General features: G+C 45.5%; 1 protein-coding gene across 9 annotated transcripts in view; it reads right to left on the bottom strand.

The window, feature by feature from the left end:
• ENTREP1 (endosomal transmembrane epsin interactor 1) overlaps nucleotides 5,312-18,644 on the bottom strand; it is a 67,890-nt gene continuing 54,557 nt past the window's right edge. For 5 of the 9 annotated variants that reach the window (NM_001127608.3, NM_001347995.2, XM_017015324.2 and 2 more), the window contains 5 exons: nucleotides 14,009-14,138; nucleotides 13,743-13,821; nucleotides 11,821-11,973; nucleotides 9,318-9,610; nucleotides 5,312-6,167 (listed from right to left, as the gene is read on the bottom strand). In NM_001127608.3, coding sequence (NP_001121080.1) covers nucleotides 5,964-6,167; nucleotides 9,318-9,610; nucleotides 11,821-11,973; nucleotides 13,743-13,821; nucleotides 14,009-14,138 — 859 coding nt within the window. In that variant the 3' untranslated portion in view covers nucleotides 5,312-5,963. The other 4 variants (XM_047424086.1, NR_170669.1, XM_047424087.1 and 1 more) reach the window with 4 other exon arrangements.

The following is an 18,644-nucleotide window of genomic DNA, read 5'->3' as shown; positions in this document are numbered from 1 at the left end:
AGAGCAGAATAATCCCAGCAACTCTCCTTGCTTGGAATTGTTTTCTGCCTAATATGTGATCCTGCCCGCACTATGAAATGTTCCTTTTGGATCAGAATTCATGAACAGTATCTAAAAGATTCTGGGAAAGCCTCCATAGACCTGGGACCTACAGCCACTTTGCCAGAGAAGAACGATGATTCATCCTGAATTTTGGCTCTAGCTTCTTTGTTAGGGCAAAACAGAGATCCTGCCAGCTGTTGGAATGAAAGGAGCGTTTTTCTTTAGACAGTGACAAGCCTGAGGCAAGGGACACAGTGTCATGAGAGTTCCCACTCAGAAACGGAGATGCTCCTTGGAGTCGGACACACTCACCCCTTGACCAAACTTGAGTAAGGCTCCTCTGAGTCCTCTTTTTCTTTTTTTGATGTTTTTTGTTGTTGTTGTTGGTTGTTTTGTTTTGTTTTTTGGTGTTGGTTTTTTTTTTTGTATTTTTGAGAAAGTGTCTCACTCTGTCACCCACGTTGGAGTGCAGTGGAATCATGGCTCGCTGCAGCCTCAACCTCCTGGGCTCAAGTGATCCTCCAACCTCAGCCTCCTGAGTAGCTGGGACTACAGACATGTACCACGCGTGGCTAATTTTTACACTTTTTTGTAGAGATGGGGTCTCACTATGTTGCCCAGTCTGGTCTTGAACTTCTGGACTCAAGTGATCCTCCCACCTCAGTTTTCAAAGTGTTGGGATTATGGGCATGAGCTATTGCACCCTGCCTGAGTCCTCTTTCTGACTCTTGGACTCTTAGTCCAGTTTTAGCAAGAATTCTGCTGAGTCAGTTTAGCAAAAATCTCCTATCCTTGGTATCTGATCACATTCCTCATTCCCTACCCTGATAGCTTATCACCCTGGCCTGCCTTCAGCAAGAATCCTAGTGACTTGGTGTATCAAGAATTGCCCCAGCCCTCACGTTTCCTCTTAGTACTTTTCTATCTACTGACCCCAACATTGCTCCTTGGCTGTATAAATCTCCACTTGTCCTGCTATGTTTGGGGTTGAGTCTGACCTTTCTCCCCTATTGCAGAACCCCACTGCGGTGGCTCCTGCTTGAATAAGTCTTCCTTACCATCTTTTTTTTTTTTTTTTTGAGATGGAGTCTCGCTCTATTCGCTCTATCGCCCAGGCTGGAGTGCAGTGGCACAATCTTGGCTCACTGCAACCTCCACCTCCTGAGTTCAAGCAATTCTCCTGTCTCAGCCTCCCAAGTAGCTGGGATTACAGGCACCCATGATCACACCCGGCTAATTTCTGTATCTTTAGTAGAGACGGGGTTTCACCATGTTGACCAGGCTGGTCTCAAACTCCTGACCTCAGGTGATCCACCTGCCTCGGCCTCCCAAAGTGCTGGAATTACAGGTGTGAGCCATGGTGCTCGGCCCGTTACCATCTTTAACAATAGTCAGGAATAACTTTTCATCAAGAATTCCCAGGATGGTGAACCATCTGCCACGTGAGCCTGTTTGATAATCAGGGATGAGGGAGCCTTCACGCCAGCCTCTGAGAAACCAGGCGTGTACCTGTTGGTCTCAAAGTCACCCTCTCTTGGCTCCTCCTCCTTGCTGGAGCCTTGGCACGGTTCAGCAGCCAAGAGGAAAATGGCTTTGCATTTGTAATTTGTGATTTGTGTGTCCCCTCTTCCTGCTCTGCATTCTACCCTCAGCCCCTGGCCCACAGCCTGGTACCCTGGAGCTCCATAAATACCTGTTGAGTGAATGAGAGGATGAAGGCTTCTGCAGAGAGAGAGTGGAAGAAAAGTGGCGTCTTTTGACTTCGGACTTGGCTTTCCTTGCAGAGGCCTCAGGGAGGAACAACACGGAAACAAAGATGGCCTTGTCCTGGGCCCTTCCCTCCCTGCCCCACTGTCCTCCTCTGCATCCTACAGCAGCCTGGGGGGAGGTGGAAATGGGCCCCTTTGTTCTGCTTCCAGAATTCCACTCCCACTGGGTGGAGGCCTGGCTGCAGCCCCCTCCTTCCTCTGCCAGTTCTTCCTAATCCTGAGCGACTCGCCAAAGCCTTGGATCTTCACACCGTGGGTCTCGCTGTGAGGACGGGCCTAAGCTCACAGGTAGCCTCAGAGACAGATACGGGTGCAGAGGGAAGAGGGGGTCCCCACCTGTTACCTCCCAGTCCTCTTCATCAGTGTCCCCAGGACCTATCACACAGGACAAATGAAACTGGGAGACGCCGTCTAGAGTGGGAACCCAGGTGAACACTAATCCAGTGTGGGCTGCAGACCTGTTTTTCCCTGGTCCCTGACATGAGTAAATTCAGAAAATGAGGGTAAGTGCTTTGAGATGTTAACATGATAGAGTACTTTACTTTTATGACTATTGAATCAAATAACTTTTCAAGGGTTTTAATGGATTATCAGACCATGGAAAGATACAGGAAACTTGAATGCATATTACTAAGTGAAAGAAGTCAGTCTGAAAAGGCTGTATAGTATCTGATTCCAACTGTGTGACATTCTGGAGAAAGCAAAACTATGGAGACTGTCAAAGGACCAGTGGTTGTCAGGAGTTAGGGGAGAGAGGCATGACTGGGTAGAGCACAGAGGATTTTAGGGCAGTGGAACTACTCTGTATACTACTACAGTGGTGGATACAGGTCATCATGCATTGTTCAAATTCATGGAATGGACGACACCAAAGGTTAACTCCAGCCAGAAGTGCTGGTCTCTTACCCCTGCCCCATTCTTAGCACTGGGCCTCAGTTTCCTTTCCTGCAAATTGAGGGGGTAGCATGATCTGACCTACCCAATTAGACAGTTCAGCAAATGTCTGGTTCTTTTGACAAATACAGGCAGCGTCTGGAAATTAGGGGCCATAGACTCCTCCTCCAAACCTCACCATCAAGATGCTCCAATGAAAGCAGGTCTTGGGCAATTCTGCCAGCCAGCCATGCTCATTGGCAAGGCTGCACAAAACAGTTTGTAAGCTTGGGGAAGTCCTAGCTGTCCTCAGATTCTCAGATACGTAGCTTGCTTGAAAGGTTGGGGTTCTGAAGGAGCAGCTTGAATCTCAGTCCATCCTGTGACAATCTCACAAAGTGGGGACCAGATTCTGATGCCTCATTGGGACAGAGGCAACAATGACTATGCAGTGCTCCTAGCTGGCCACATGTTGTGAACATTATTTACTTCACCAGTGAAAACTTATTTCAAACATCCCTTATGCTAATTAATCAACCCTCTGGTATAATTTTGATAACCACATTTGAAATGCTTTGTTAAAACCACTGGACTATGGATTCCTAAGGAACTCCAAAGGCGAAACAGCTGCCCTCGCTATATATGTTCAGTTAACCTATGAGCATGTGTATCATTATTAATGCTTAAGTATTTAAAAGTATATTACTACCCAGATGAACTAGGAAGGAGATAAATCACATGACTTCTGAGTTCCCTCCCATGCTAAATATATGTAAACTATTGTTATATATATATATGTTTCTGTGTTTTTTTTTTTTACTTTAATACTCCTTAAAGTCAGGGAAGGAAGGCAGAAATAGGTTTTCAGATTTCGCCATTTCTGAAGTTGCAGGGACAATTCCATGAAGCTAAGACAGGCCCCCCCTTGCTCCTGGTGTCCATCTAACTGATGCTCTCAGGCTTTATGCCTCCTTTCCTCTTCCAGTTGTCGCTGGCAATTTCTCATTCCTCGGGATGGCTGAGGCCATCTCTGTGACTGTCCCCCCAAAGCTAGAAGCCAGACACTGTTCACACTTGTGGTGCCCACCTGTCTTCCTTGAGCCTTTCAGGTACACAGGGAGGCCTGCGGTGGCAGGTGGAGGTGAGCAATAGGGTTCAGAAGGGAAGGTGGAGAGGGATGCAGCTGGGAAAAAAAAAAAAAAGATTCCAGAGCAGTGAGAAAGGCACAGCCAGGCCTGAGTGAGGGAAGGAAAGGCCAGTCCCTTCTCTTGCCTGGCTACAGGAGTGGGACAAAGTGGTTGGCTAACTGCTGTGGGGCCTCACTTGGAGAAACCAGTTTGGGGGTACACAAGGAGCTGTGAAGGAGAGAAGAAATTAGACTAGGCCGCATGGGCAGTCCACGGAATGTTGGAGAACTACGGTGAGGCCCTCAAACAGGGCAAGGGCTTACCCCGGGCAGTGGGCCAGACCCCACTGGACAGCTATGGTGCTGACAGGAGGACTCCTAGAGAAATGGAAAGATCATGAGCCTGAAGGGGAATTCAGTTTCTGGGAATGGGCGGATAAGAACGGAGAAAATGTCATTCTGAGATGTCACTGTAGATCTTCCCCAAACAGAGCTGACCCCAGGCAAGGGGCCTGACCCCAGCCTGTTCACAGCCCTCCATCTCTCCCATTTCTAGGGCTGTTTCCACAGCCCCCTTCCCACCGCAGCTCAGCACCTCCACACCAGTGTCTTTCCCCTCCTTTCCTCCATCCCTTGTCCCCACCACAGTTCCCACTCTGGCATGGTTCGTTGGCTTGGACCCAGGAAATCTGTGGTCTGGAGAGGCAAGCTAGAAGTCTTAACAGCCCTTTCCCACAGAAGCATGAAATGGCAAACCAATTTCATGTTTGGGAGGTCGAGGAACAGAGCAGTTTCTGGAGTTGGACTGCCTGGGTGTGAATGGCAGCTCCACCCCTTAGCTGCGGAGGGACCGTGCGCAAATTACTGAACCTCATTTTCCACATCTGTCAAATAGGGACAATAATAGCTTCCACCGCCTATGCTGTCATGAGCACAAAATAGGAGTGTGTGCAAAGCTCTTAGCATAGTAGCTGGTGCACAGGCAGTGCCCAGCAAGAAGCAGTACTCCATTTCCTATGTAACCTCTCTACTCAACTCCTCACCTCCACTCATGTCTGGCCCAAACTATTCTCCATGCAGCATGGTGATCTTTTGAAAATATGCTGACATCCATCACTCTTCTGCTGAAAACTCCTCAACAGTATCTCATTGCTAGCACAACAGGCAGCCTGTGCAGCTACTGCCCACCGCTGCCCTGACTCGGGGCTGTGGTCACAGTGGCCTCTGGTGTTCTTCGCCCCTCTCTCTCTACCTGGAACATTCTTCCCTGATCCACTAAGTCGTGACTCAGCTCAAGTGCCATTTCCTCGAAGAAGAAGCCCCTCTAACCACCTATTGCTCTTTTTCAGCAATAATCCCCAATCTGTAATTACTTTATTGATTTATTGTCCGTGATCCCATGAGAAGGCAGCTCCATGAAGCCATCCAGCCAAGTGCTTGCTGAATGAACGATACAGCCCGAAGGATACATGTAATAACAAATATTACACATCAAGCCCAGTGGCCCAAAGTAAACATGTTTATTCTCAGTTCTGCCTTAGGGGTCTCTAGTTTTGCAAGCATGAGTAAATGGAATCAACAATAATCCTCTCCTTAAATGTCTGGCATTAAAATTTGTCACTTAAGAAGTTTCCTGTTTTGCCTAAAGAGAGTGTGATTTGAGGGTGACCTGAAACAAGGCTTGAGGCTTGTGGACACATAGGGTTAATCGCCTTATTTCCTGCCAAATCGCAGAGCAGTGAAAGGCCAAAGGCAACTATAAATAGCAGCCCGGCAGATCTGTCCTTCCAAGAGGGAAAGAACTTAGCAACAAAGAGAGACACGAGGGGTGAAGTGGGCAAAGAATCATTAGCCCAGTTTCTGCCCATGCCAGGGCATGTGACCCTTGGGAATGCTGCGAGGCCCAGCAGAGGAAGAAGAGGATCAAAGCTTTCATAACCTCCAACTCAGTGCATCCCAAACCCAGACGGGCCTGGACCGACCTGTGCATTTACTCCTGAATGCCCTCAGTCAGCAGACACGGGAGCCAACAGGTGGGAAAACGTGTCCTCCAGAGTGCTCCTTTTTTTTGAGGTGGACCACAGCTCCCAGCCAAGAAATGGCAGAGAGGAGAGGGATCCTTCCCCTTGGAGTGGCCTTCTGTCTTCCAGGGTTCACAGGACAGTCTCTCGGATGACCCCAATGAGGCTGTGTGGCCGCTCAGCCTCCACTCGCCGGGGCCTCCTCTCGGCTCGGGGCCTCCCCGCTGGTGTGAAGGTGTGAAGGTCGCCGCAGCTCTGGAGGTGCAGCAGGCCAGGCTGTCTCCGCGAGGGCAGCTTGTGGGCCCTGGATGTGCTGGGCTGCAATGGGGCCATTATCTTTGGGAAAAGAGAGGGGTGGGGAGAAGTTAAGTAAGCTTTACCAGATGTGGCCCTTTGACCTACCTCCTAGGTCCATCCACCTATCTTAATGTGTAATTGCTTTGAAAAAGAAAAAAAAAAGGCATTTTCCCAAAGTGGAACTCACTTGGAATTCCAGAGGTTCTTTGTAAATCCTCCAAATGTTCTACCATGTCCGCTGTAGACCCGTAAACCACACTTAACTGGTTTGTCCGTTGCAATTTCTTGCTTTAACATTCTTCTCATTGCTTTTCTCTAATTTCTCTGAAGTCTAAGTCAGTGATCCTTGCTGGCATCTGAACATTACTACTGGGTCAGGGAGGGACGGGTATTGTCAGAAACATGAATTCTCAGCAAATTGCTACAGAATTCCCATAGCAATGGGGACAGTTAGCCTGGACTCAGGCTCAGGAATCTGTATTTTTAACAAGAATCCAAGTAAGAACCACTGGTCTGGGATTGGGACCAGGTGATGGGTTTATAAAATGTCAACCAAGTATAGGCGCAGTGGCTCACACTTGTAATCCCAGCACTTTGGGAGGCTGAGTCAGGAGGATTACTTCAACCCAGGAGTTTGAGACCAGCCTGAGTAACATAGTGAGACTCCATCTCTACAAAAAAAAAAAAAAAAAATTAATTAGCTGGGCATGGTGGTTCATGCCTGTAGTCCCAGCTACTTGGGAGGCTGAGGCAGAAGGATTACTTGAGCCCAGGAGTTCTAGACCAGCCTGGACAACATCGCAAGACCTCATCTCTACTAAAAATAAGAAAACTTGGCTGGGCGTGGTGGTGTGTGCCTGTAGTCCCAGCTACCTGAGAGGCTGAGGCAGGAGGATCACCTGAGCCCAGGATTTCAAGGCTGCAGTGAGCTATATCTACACCACCGCACTTTAGCCTGGGTGACAGACGGAGACCTTGTTTCAAAAAAGAAACAGTCAACCCAAACCATCCAATGATGCTTCAAATGGATCTGATAATCCTTTAATAAACAATATAAAAATTAGGCCAATTTATTTGTAAAAAGTCTTTAAGAATGATTCTTTTTGCTAGATCTATTTTGCAATGTGTCACAAACATAATTTTGAATATATAATAATATCACTTACTCTGTAAAAATGGCAAAAATATGAAAAATTCCTCATCCAACTGGGATTGAAGAGGAGAGAACTGTCCGGTCAATTTTTTAAAAATTGCACTGCCATGTTTCTTTGACCCATAATACTGTCAGCAGCTTCGGAAAACCTTGGGGCTTTATTGTTACCTAACATCACAGCACAATCATTTGGATGACTTTTTGTTTCATTTGTACCATTCTGAGCCTTTAAGGTCATTAAAAGATTATTCCTCCAAAGAAGGAAAATTAAATTTTATTAACAGTCTACTAATTACATTTGTCTTTAAGGTCTGTCCTTGTCTCCCGATTAAGAATAAAAGTTCAACATTCAAAGAAGTTGACTGTGCTACATAGTAAGTTAGGACAAGTGGTTTTGATATCAGTGAAAATCAAAATGGATCTAAAAACTCCAAGATGCGAAGCCAGCTAGAGTCAGAAATAACTGGTCTCCTTCTGCTGTCCTTACCTCCTTCTGGTGTTCTTACCTCCTTCTACCAGGGAAAAGGTATAGAATTGTGAAAGCTCACCTCTAGGTTCCAGTCCTGGAAGGCCCAGGAGATGGCCCAAAATCTATCACAACAATCTCAGCACCTGAAGTTTTAACCTGCCTGGGGCACAAAGATCTAGCAAACATTTGTGATGATAGCATCTAGTGAACTGTATAAGTGCTTGTTCTTCTTCCCCAGAGCTATTTCTCAGGGAGCAAGACTTTGCAGAAGGTCCAGGCCCACTACCTGGTGAATGCTCCAGCTCTTAGCTCATCAGAGCTTGGCAGCCTTCCAGAAGTGACTCCTGATTATTGGGCTATTGGGGCCGGACAGAGGGAAGGTGACAGACAATGACATCTGGAGTAGCTAAGGGACACCAGGATGTAAAATGTTTTCCCTACATAGGTTAGTAACTGGAGCCTCACCCGGAACCGTCAACTGATCACTCTTTCAGAGTGCAAACCCAAGAGGGTCTGTGGTTCATGTACCTCTTCATGCAAGTAATCAGATCATTCCTCCCCGCTGAATCCCCTGAGGGACTGGGAGAGAGTTTGGCTTCTGGCTTCTGTAAGAAGAGGCCAGCAGGTAGAAAGGGGGAACGGAAGGGACAGTGAGAGGGTATTTACTCAATTTGAATTGAAAATTTACCTACATCCTGAAGTTGGTAATTACCCTGAGAAATTAGCCCACTTCAGTTGAGGAAGTATTTGTTAGCCATTTAATGCCCAAAGACACAGAGCCACAAAACATCCATACGCCATTGTGGGGTGCTGTCTACAACATCCACCCCACTACCTGCAGCAATGAAGCCAACACCTAAAAGGGAATGGCTCTTAAAAGAGGTGGAGAGAAGGCTCTTACCAGAAGGAAACTCCATTCATTCAAAAATAAAGGTAGAGAGACTACCTAGTCCAACCATTTACTTTAAAGAGGAGAAACCTGAGACCCAACTGGATTATGTTCATGCCCAATTCTATCTTTTCCCCAAGTGGCTTCAGTTTCGGGGATTGCCTTGTACTTTTTAATCTACAAGAAGAAAAGGTGCTTATTCCCTTAGGACCTGTTGGCTTATTTATCTTGCCAAACATTTCATGGGAATGTGAACAGCCTCTTAGAATCTTGTTGATATTAAAATTCACCTATGTCATCATTTCCAAAGGGCTGAGAAAACATGCCCTATCAAAGGAAACCTTCAATTCAGGAAATCAAATGTTGAATGCACTCCACACTGTCCACATCCTCCGCTTTTATTCCTAGGATGCACTCTTTAATTTTCCCAGACATGCTTCCACATCCCAGAAAAACTGGGTTCTCTTCCCTTGAGCCAAGAATGATGTGGGAAAGTTACCACACTTGAAAGAAAGCTCCCCGGCTTCCTCTGTCTCCCTCCCCAGAACTCTCAACCCAATTTCCCTGAAGACTGTGACCATGAACTTACTCTGCCTTGGACAAGAAAGCGGAGAAGCCACTTTAGCTGCTATGAAAATGAGTCATCTGATTCATGCCTGAGATTAATAATAAAACTACCTGTTCTAGAAAACTGGCACTTGTGATGGCTTCCTCCATGTGCTCCTCATCAGATTTCAAAACAGATTTAATGTTTTCTACAAGTTCATGGATGTCTGGGGTCATGGTACAAGAGGACTGCTCCAGGAACCTCGCCACCAGCAGCTTGGTGTCCATGTAGGATTTGTAATCTATCAAAGACCGCGGTCTGCATCGCGAAGCTCTAGATCTCAAGCCTCTCCTCAGAGTCACTGCAGCCAGATCCAGTCTCCTTTCAGTCTGTGTTGCAGCTTCACAGCTGAGCACTGGGGCAGCTGTGGGCAGAAACAAACAACATGTACCCATTGGCCAACCCCTTTTGAACATATGCCTGTACCTGAAAGCACAGACCACAAAACTCAACATGGAAAGCATCTGACAAATGCTGATAGCCATGCACATCCTGCTTTTCATCTTGCAGAAGGAGGGAAAACAACACAAGGTTATTCCCTGAAGTCCAGTTCCAATAGGATATGGCCCGAAACACGTCATTGTGTCATGTACGACACCACCCCCAAGGTAAAGCCAGATGGTGGAGAGGAGAATCCAGAATGCAAACCATAATGAGGTTAAGTTTCATGGGGTATGACAAATAGATGGGGATGGATGGGCCAAGCAGGAAAAATGTGGCTGACCAATGAAAGGATGTTCCAAGGAGCGAGGATGAAGTAGTCAATTAAGAGAGGAAGGGGCTGAAGAGAGACAAGACTTGTCAGATGAATGTAATGCTCTGATCACTTTGACTATACCTTTGTCCCAAACGTCCTCAAGGACGTTGTACTGACTTGTGTTATCGATGCTCACACCATGGATATGAGGTAGATCTATAGCTATTACCAAAAGAGAAATTTAGGTGCAGAAAAAGTACACATCATTCTGGAAGTCAACAGAGAGCCTGGGAAATCCACTGCAGGCTCTAATTTCCATGGCTGCCTATATCAGCAAGGGTGTAAAGACCAGCAATGCTTCTGCACTGTGAAGTGTGTGAAGCAAAACTCAGATCTGGTCATTATGTGTCCAGAAGTCAGCCAGCAGCCTTCAGCATACACAACATTGGCATCTTCAGTCTATGAAGGCCTGATAAGCAGCAATTTAGAAATTCAAAGAAGACAAGAAGCAGGGGGCGAGAGAGCAGGTGGAAGAAGGGGAGCACCCCCTTTCTTCTGGAGAAAGGCAGGTGTGGGGAGCTCTAAACCAGGATTCGAGACTGTCCTCTCAGGCAGCCATATGCACGTCACAGACAGCAAGAGTCTTCCAGAAGCACTCGCCAAAGACACTCGTGTGAGGACAGAGTCAGGGTCTCCACTCTTCCACTTGAAGGCAACCTGGCGCCTTCCACAATGGAGGGCTCCAGCAGCTGCTGTTCTTGCCCCCGCAGGTCTGCAGAATGAGAAGGGGTTCTGGAAAGATTTCCCTAAGCTGTGCAAACAGCTAAGTTCCCGTTGAGGCTGGAGTCCTCAACTTGCCAGGTAGGGTGTAGGAGACCCACAGTGAAGGCAGGTCTTGGGAATCAGAAGCCAGGCTGCCTGGCCACTGTGTTTCAGAGACACGCTCAGTACCAGGCGGCAGGACTTCCTCTCCACTTAGAAGCTGCTGTAGAGACAAGAGGAATGTTCTCTCTGGCTCGCACATGGTCAGTCCAGAGCTGTGGCAAATAACACACACTGTCAGAGAGCCAGAACTGAGACTGCAAGGGCTCAAGACAGGACCTTAGAGAGAGCAGGGTGGAGGATTATCAAAGTTTTATTTGCATAGGTGTTTTAGAACAGCAGAGGTCAACTCTGCTAGACTACTTCACAAGAAGAAGCTGGTGCTGGTGGAGTTACAGGAGATTTTAATTTTCTTCCTTTAGTTTCTTTATTTTTTATAATTTTCTACAATGAAGAGATATTTAGAGATGTTCAGGTATTCATATATTCAGAAAAAAGTCAGTGTTATTATTTTAATTTTTAATTATTCAGGTAACATCTATACACAAACAACACAGAGAGAGAGGTGAATTGTGTGGGTGCGTGTACTTCATTCTATCCAAAGTTCTAAAAACAAGGTCAGATTTCAATAATTCAATCATCTACTCATACATAGTAAAAATATAACAAATTATAAAAGAGGGAGTATACAAAAATCCTTTTGACTTTTTTTAAGACAATGCATATTCCTATAGGATTGCAGCATCTAGAAATCAGAACTAGGTGTGCATAATTGTCTTCATGTAGTACCTAGCATAGTATCATGTACAACCAAATTCTTTTGATGACAATGACTTTAAAAAAAAACAAAAAAACCCTACCATCCTTAAAAGACATGGTAGATATATATTCCTAACATGGACGTAGAATATTTTACTTTCCCAAGACCTCATAAGCTCCTTCAAATGACCACTTAAACTGCAGGGTCCTGAGCTGGCCAGAGCCACCTGCCTTCACCTGGCTCCTTTAGGCAAATAAGCACACAGCCCTGCGAAGAGCTTGGGGAATGACATCACCTCTCTCCTCAGAAGGATGGAGCACAGGGTCACTCTTCGACCTGGTCCTCAAGGGTGGGAGGGCTCTCCGGCTTCTGATAGGACGCACCAGGGTTGAACTGGGAGTTGAGGTGGATGCATTTTCTTCGGCAGGTATGTTAGGAATGTCCCCATCTGATTTAAAAAAAAAAAAAAAAAAAAAAAAGAGGCGAAACATAAATTATCTCACCAGCTGCAGTCCTCAAAATGGGCAGGAAACACCTGGGAGCCTAAACCTGCCAGGGCAAGGGTAATGCAGTTAATAACATTTACTCAGGCTGCTGGCCCAGTAAGTTTTTACATCACTGACTACAGGAAAACTTGCCTTTCCAAACCACCCCTCCACACCTAAAACAAACAAACAGAAAAATTTAAATCCAAGAGCAAAATAAAGGAGCCATGCCAAAATGGCAGGGGTTTTTTTTTCCTAAAGGTGCTTAGAATCTTCTCCAGGGAAGCATTCTGGGGCAGTACTGAAAAGCACCCTGACATCTCAGGATAAGCCTGGTTCTGGGGAAGGTAATACCAGCACAGGTGAGGTGGCTGCTCTGTGGGCTGCAGAACTCCCGGAAGGCTAAGTTAGAGAGAGTCAAGTGGCCACTAAACAAATCCGTAAAACCCCGCTGGAATTGGATAATTTATGCTCATGAAAATAAAACTGTGAGCCTGAGTTGTAATTCGAGAAACTGTTTTTAAAAATGGAAAAATTGGCTGGGTGCAGTGGCTCATGCCTGTAATCCCAGCACTTTGGGAGGCTGAGGTGGGTGGATCACCTGAGGTCAGGAGTTCAAGACCTGCCTGGCCAACATGACAAAATCCCATCTCCACTAAAAATTCAAAAACTAGCTGGGCATGGTGGCGGTGCCTGTAGTTCCAGTTACTCGGGAGGCTGGGGCAGGAGAATCACTTGCACCCAGGAGATGGAGGTTGCAGTGAACTGAGATCGTCCCATTGCACTCCACCCTGAGCAAAAGGAGTAAAACTCTGTCTCAGAAAAAATAAATAAAAATAAAGTTAAAAAAAAAAAAATGGAAAAATTATGAACATACTTAGGAGACAGAACACTGCTTCATAATTAATTCTACTTAGGATGGAAGGTGAACAGAACACAAAGTATTACATTACAAATAGTACTGCTGAAAAATTACCTTCATCTAAAATTGCTAAGAGTTGATCCATTATTTATCACCATTGTGATTTTGTCCTGGTGGACAATCCTCTGGGCCACTTAAAACCTCCCCAAAGAGAGAAGGCCATAACAATGTTCCCTTAAAGTACAAGGATAAATGTAAACTGACTCTAGTACTTACTGCAGTACTGAAAACCAGAATTCATTAGCTGCTCGGGCAGCATGACCTGGGCCCTAGGTTATAAATGACACAGCACAATCTTACCACAAATCACCTTGCAATAGAGGAAACTTTTTTTCCCCTGACAAAAGTCTAGCTAATTTTAATTAATAGGAGGAAGAAAATCATAGATCAGAAAACACAGGAATATCAATCAAACTCTGTAACCTATTTCATGGTTCCTGAGAATAGTCTGGTTCATAAAAAATTCCAAGGATATCTTTTTTCAGTTCACATATTTTCTCCCATTTATAAGCCCTAATAGTTGATGGTATTTTTGTATCTGGAGAAAAAGGTGTAGCTTGAACTATTTGCTCCAAGAATACCTGCCCTCTAACACAATACCAGACAGGATCATTATTTTATCATTTTTTTTTTCCGTTTGTAGAAATAGGGTCTCTCTCCATGTTGTCCAGGCTGGCCTCAAACTCCTGGCCTCATGTGATCCTCCCACCTCGGCCTCCCAAAGTGCTGGGATTACAGAGATAAGCCACCTTGCCCAGCCTATTTTATCATGTTTTAATCTACTGAATCATGTCACAATGTATCTATTACCTTGAGTCACTTGTGTGCAGCCCAGATCCAATGGGATCACAGCAGCTTCTGATCCTTCTGACATTTGGAATGAAGATCCCTGCATCACAGCAAAAAACAGGGTTATTTTGTTGATGTTTAACTCACCCCTCATTAGACCCAGTGAACTCCTTAAAAAGATGTGTGGGGCCCGGTCTCCCTGCTGTTCTCTGGGGGCAGGGGGTGGGGCGGTGCTGTCTTTCCCACTTGCAGTCAATGTACTTAGAGAGATTCAGGACAGACAGTACCTGCTCCTGGTCCATCTGGCTCACCACAGCTTCATATGGCGGCGGGGGATCCAGAGGACAGAACACTTCCACACCTTTGATTCGAGCTCCGTAGATGTGTGGCAGGGGAATAACATCAGGACCAACCATCCTAGGAAAAGCGACTTGGCGTCAGAAAGCACGTTCTACAGACTGGCCACGTGACTGCAGTGATGCCCGGATACTGGCTTTGCTCTAAACTGTGGGGAAAACCACTCACCTCTCCATACCATGGTCTCCTTGGCCAGGAGAGGGAGAATAATAGAAGCTGCTCTCCGACGAAGTGGCCAGAGTTCCTTAAGCAAATGACAGTGTATAAAATGCAACCCCATCATTGCTTTTAAACCCATCAGTCAAAAAGCAAACAATCCATAGAGACACAGAGCAGATTAGTGGCTGCCAGGGGATGGGGGAGAAGGGAATGGGGAGTGACTGTTTGATGGGTATGGGGTCTCTCTGAAGTACTGAAAATGCTTTGGAACTAGATAAAGATGATGGTTACGAAATAATGTGAATGCACTAAATGCTACTGAATCATATACTTTGGTTAATTTCATTTTATATGAGTTTCACCTCTATTTAAAAAACAGCTAAGGACTCAGGAAAATTCAATTATGTCTTACATTCTACATGACTCTTGTTTTTGTCCTGTGGGTAAAGAACCGTCAACAGCAAAATTCAAAATAATAGCAAAATCCTCCACAAGATTTTTCACCAACGTTGACAGAAAATTCCACAAATCTCTGCCCAAGGTACCAGATGATCTAGATAATGATGAACCTAAGTTTTAAAATAATTTATAAAATACATATAAAAGCCAGAACACCTGCATTCTGCTATGGAGTATCAAAGAATGAAAGAAAAAAAAAGAGAACAAAAGTTTGTCTGTTCTTGAAATACAAAAAAAGGATTTTAAAAAGCTAAAAGAAATGGATGAGAAAACAGATTCTGGGGCTAGTTGCTTGCAGGCACTGCCTTTTGGGGAGCAGTGTTCTCTGAATTTATAGTTGTTTCATTTTATTCTTTGTGGCTATATACAAAATGTGATTGGTGGAAGAAAAAATTTGAAAAGGATATCATCTTCTTTCTTCCTAACAATAAAACTTCTGGAATTCTGGGACTGAGAAGAATGAGACTCTGCAACCTGAATGAAAAGATGAGAAAGCACTCCCTCGTTTTCCTCTATATTTGTCTGTTCGTAAGCGAGGCTCTCATCCCTTGCTTGACCTGAAGGGGAAGGCAGAAGGTGATGAGCTAATGCCTGAAGTGGAGATGTTTGCAGGTTCAGCACGCAACACATCAAGCCTCCAGTTGGAAGCGAGGCACTAGCACAAAGGGTCCCTTCGTGGGGGAGGGGTCCTGGCAAAGTTATTATGAAAGAGAGATTCTCCCCCTTACAGCAGGACTTGCCAACGGGCTTCATTCCAACTCCCCCATTCCACTGAAACTGTTTAAGAACTATAAATGCTGAGTGACTCTGAGAAGCCAGACCCTTCCTGGATCTAAGAGTGAAGATTCTTTCCTGGCAAATGAACAGTGCAATTTGCTTTCATCAATGAGACCTATGGACTTCTATCCTCTCCAGAGGGCCAGCCTTCCATCTTTAATGAGCATAGCCCCCATGAGCCACCTTCCTAGCACTTATAAACACTTGACTTTTTCTCTCCAACAAATGACATCTGTATTTCTTCGCTGCTGTGTCCCCTGCCTGGAAAGTTTCTATCCCCGTTGCCTGTTTGTTACGTGTCCAGAGAGAGGAGAGGGCTTGCTGAGGGCCAAGAGGTCAGAGTAACAGGCTCTGTTTTAGATCCTAAACTATTGTAGAATTTCTTCCCGAAGAACAACTGGGGAAAGAGGGGGCATACTTTATCCAAGCTGACCACAGAATAAACAGCTTCTATGGTAGTTTTGATAATGCCCATAAAAGCCTCACTTTGAAGGAAGATGCTGCTAGAGTTGACATAGAAGGAAAGTTCCTTTCCTATTAAGCAATTTCTTATTTTACCTCATTTGTGTTAACAAGGGTCTGTGGAGGGAAATGGATCTGCTACATACTGGCAGGTTGGTTTTTTGTTTTTGTTTTTGTTTTTGTTTTTAACTACTGTTTCTTTCCCCAGATCCCCATGGCTCTCAGTCCTGGCAAGGTAGGTAGAATCACCTTGGGAGGTTCTGAAACTCTGGATGGCCCAGGCCTCACTTTTAGAAATTCTGCTCTCATTGCCTATCGTGGGACCCAGGAATCTGCCCGTTGTCAGTGCTCCTAGGGGATTCTAATGCACCACCAAGATTGAGCACCACTGCAAAAGGAAATGGATAATGGTGATTGAAATTAAAGCCCTGTTCTACTGGGAAAGTTGATCAAATTTTTATTAAAGAATGAGGGTCTTGCTTCTTTTCAGAAAGCTTCTTATGTCCATTATCTCATAACAATACTCCCTGCAGCCACATGACAACGAAGGTGAATGAGGAAACTGAGGCTCAGAAATGGTGAGAGACTCATCCTGGGTCACCCTCTGCAGAGACTCTAGAGCCTGGCTCTTTCAAGTCCATCACCAAGTCCCCAGGAAGACTTCACTGGTGCAGGCTCAGGAGCACTGAAGATGGAAATTCAAAGCATGTTCTGCTTTCAGGCTACAAATAGGCCCTGAAGACTCACTCAGGTGGAATGCAGCAGCAGATACACCATTGACCAGAGAATCCTCCTCCTCCTGTACTGGAAAACTGTACCCTGTGACTGGGTACAGGGTTGCTGCCTGCAGAGGGGGAGAGAGGGAAGGGCCCTCCCCCAACCCTCTACAGCTGAGCACTGACTCAACCCCAAGCATCGCCCGGCTCCACTTGAGTTTGGGTTTGGAAATTCTTAGGAAAGGAAATGAGTGGGGTTTGGGGGGGCTCTGCTTTAAGAAATGCCCATGTCAACCACGTCAATGCCCAAGACCCCCTCAGTCTTCGGTTTTCTTTAATAGGCTACATCCCCAGAGTAAAAACCAGATCCATGTTCAAGAAATAGGTTGGAGACTCCTTGATCCCTGGCTCAAGCCAACTTCTGAGAACAGAGACACCCTGGAGTAGCGGAGGTGGGGTGGGGTGCACGGCCCCCTCCTGTATTACAAATCAATTCACAAAGTAGCGAACCCATCTTTGGACAGAAACCTCAACTGCAATCAGACTTCTGTTTATGACAGTAACTCGAGAAGCCTTTTCTCAAGGAGATGCCAACGCATGAAGTGGTTGTATTTATAGAAGTTAAACAAACCTCTTCTGAGAGGTCATAATACCTTACAGGAAATGGGGAGCCTCTGTTGTGTGAAAACTCTGGATAAAACTGGTCATAAAATAGTAACAATCATGAATATTCTTGCCTGCCTGCTTAAAAGAAAGAAAATTACCAACTGAGGTTAAACCATGAGTGTCTATAAAGTTGATTTATACCGTGAATCTAGAAAAGTTGGTCACATTGTGAAATATTTTTGATAGGACATGTATCTAAATGTGAATAAATTCAGCCCTTTTGAAAAGGAAAGTGGACTGCACTCTGATATTGGTAAAATTTCCAAAAATAAAGGTGTTTGCCCATTGGCAATATGATTATAGGGCTCTAGGCACGTATTTTAGACTGGGCAATGTCTTCTTTCTCACAAGACTGTTTTGCTTTAACTCCCTCCTTCGGCCTTCTTTCTAGAAAGTTTTGAAGGATAAAGCCCTTGATGAGAAGCTTGTCTGTTTTCTTCCAACCTGGATTTGGCCAGAGGCTGTCTCAGGACTCAGAGAGACAAATCCGAGGATGCACCTAGATCTTAAAGAGTGGAAATATCTGCAGTGATGAGCATTATTATGGTGAAGCAGAGAAGAGAAAGGAAAGCGAGGAGACAGGAAGGTCGGGAGTGCTCAGAGCACACTGCTGGATGGCTCGGCTCCTAAACCCACATGAGTCACTTTCCCTTTCTGCCACTGCAGAAACTAAATCTGTCTGCTGCCTCCTCCTAGGTCAACAGAGTGCTCATCCGCAACCTCAGTGTCAAAGAATTCTTCTTATTGGAGAGGGTATTTCTCATCCCCACCATGAAATATCAGTCATTTTTTACTGTCCTCCAATGTACCCTCTACAGACAGCCTGAGACGGCGCTAAGATTTTTGCAAATGTGTCCTCAGGTACAGAAAGAACATGTGTTTTGCTGCCATATCTCTTCAGCCTCTGTCATTCTTGGCTCATTTCCTGAAAGATTAAGGAAGCCATCCCAGCCCCTGAGGCTTTGAAATTCCAGTAGAGGCCACTCCCTGAACACCAGAGAGGCCAAGCTGTCCCACAGGCCTAGCCCAGGCCACCTGTCACCCAGCTGACATCCCCTCCAGCTTTGCAGTCATCTCTGCCCCTGCCTGGGCAAGTGAGCTGGGGAGGGTATAGACGTAGGGTTCAGGTATAACTGAGGGACGAGTCAGCAGCTAAGCCACTGAAAAGAACACTAACAGTGTCTGGGTGGCAGCCCCACTGGTGACCTATCTCAAAGTCACATACCATCACCCTGGACATTAGAAAATACTTCTCTAAAAACCTCAAGCTCAGCACCAAGTTAGTTTGATAAGTCTCTACATGTACTACAGGGATTAAAAAATAGAA

Source organism: Homo sapiens, chromosome 9 (genome assembly GCF_000001405.40).
Source record: "Homo sapiens chromosome 9, GRCh38.p14 Primary Assembly".
Lineage (NCBI taxonomy): Eukaryota > Metazoa > Chordata > Mammalia > Primates > Hominidae > Homo > Homo sapiens.
Note: the sequence above shows the minus strand (reverse complement) of the source record. Positions and strands in the feature narration are given on the sequence as shown.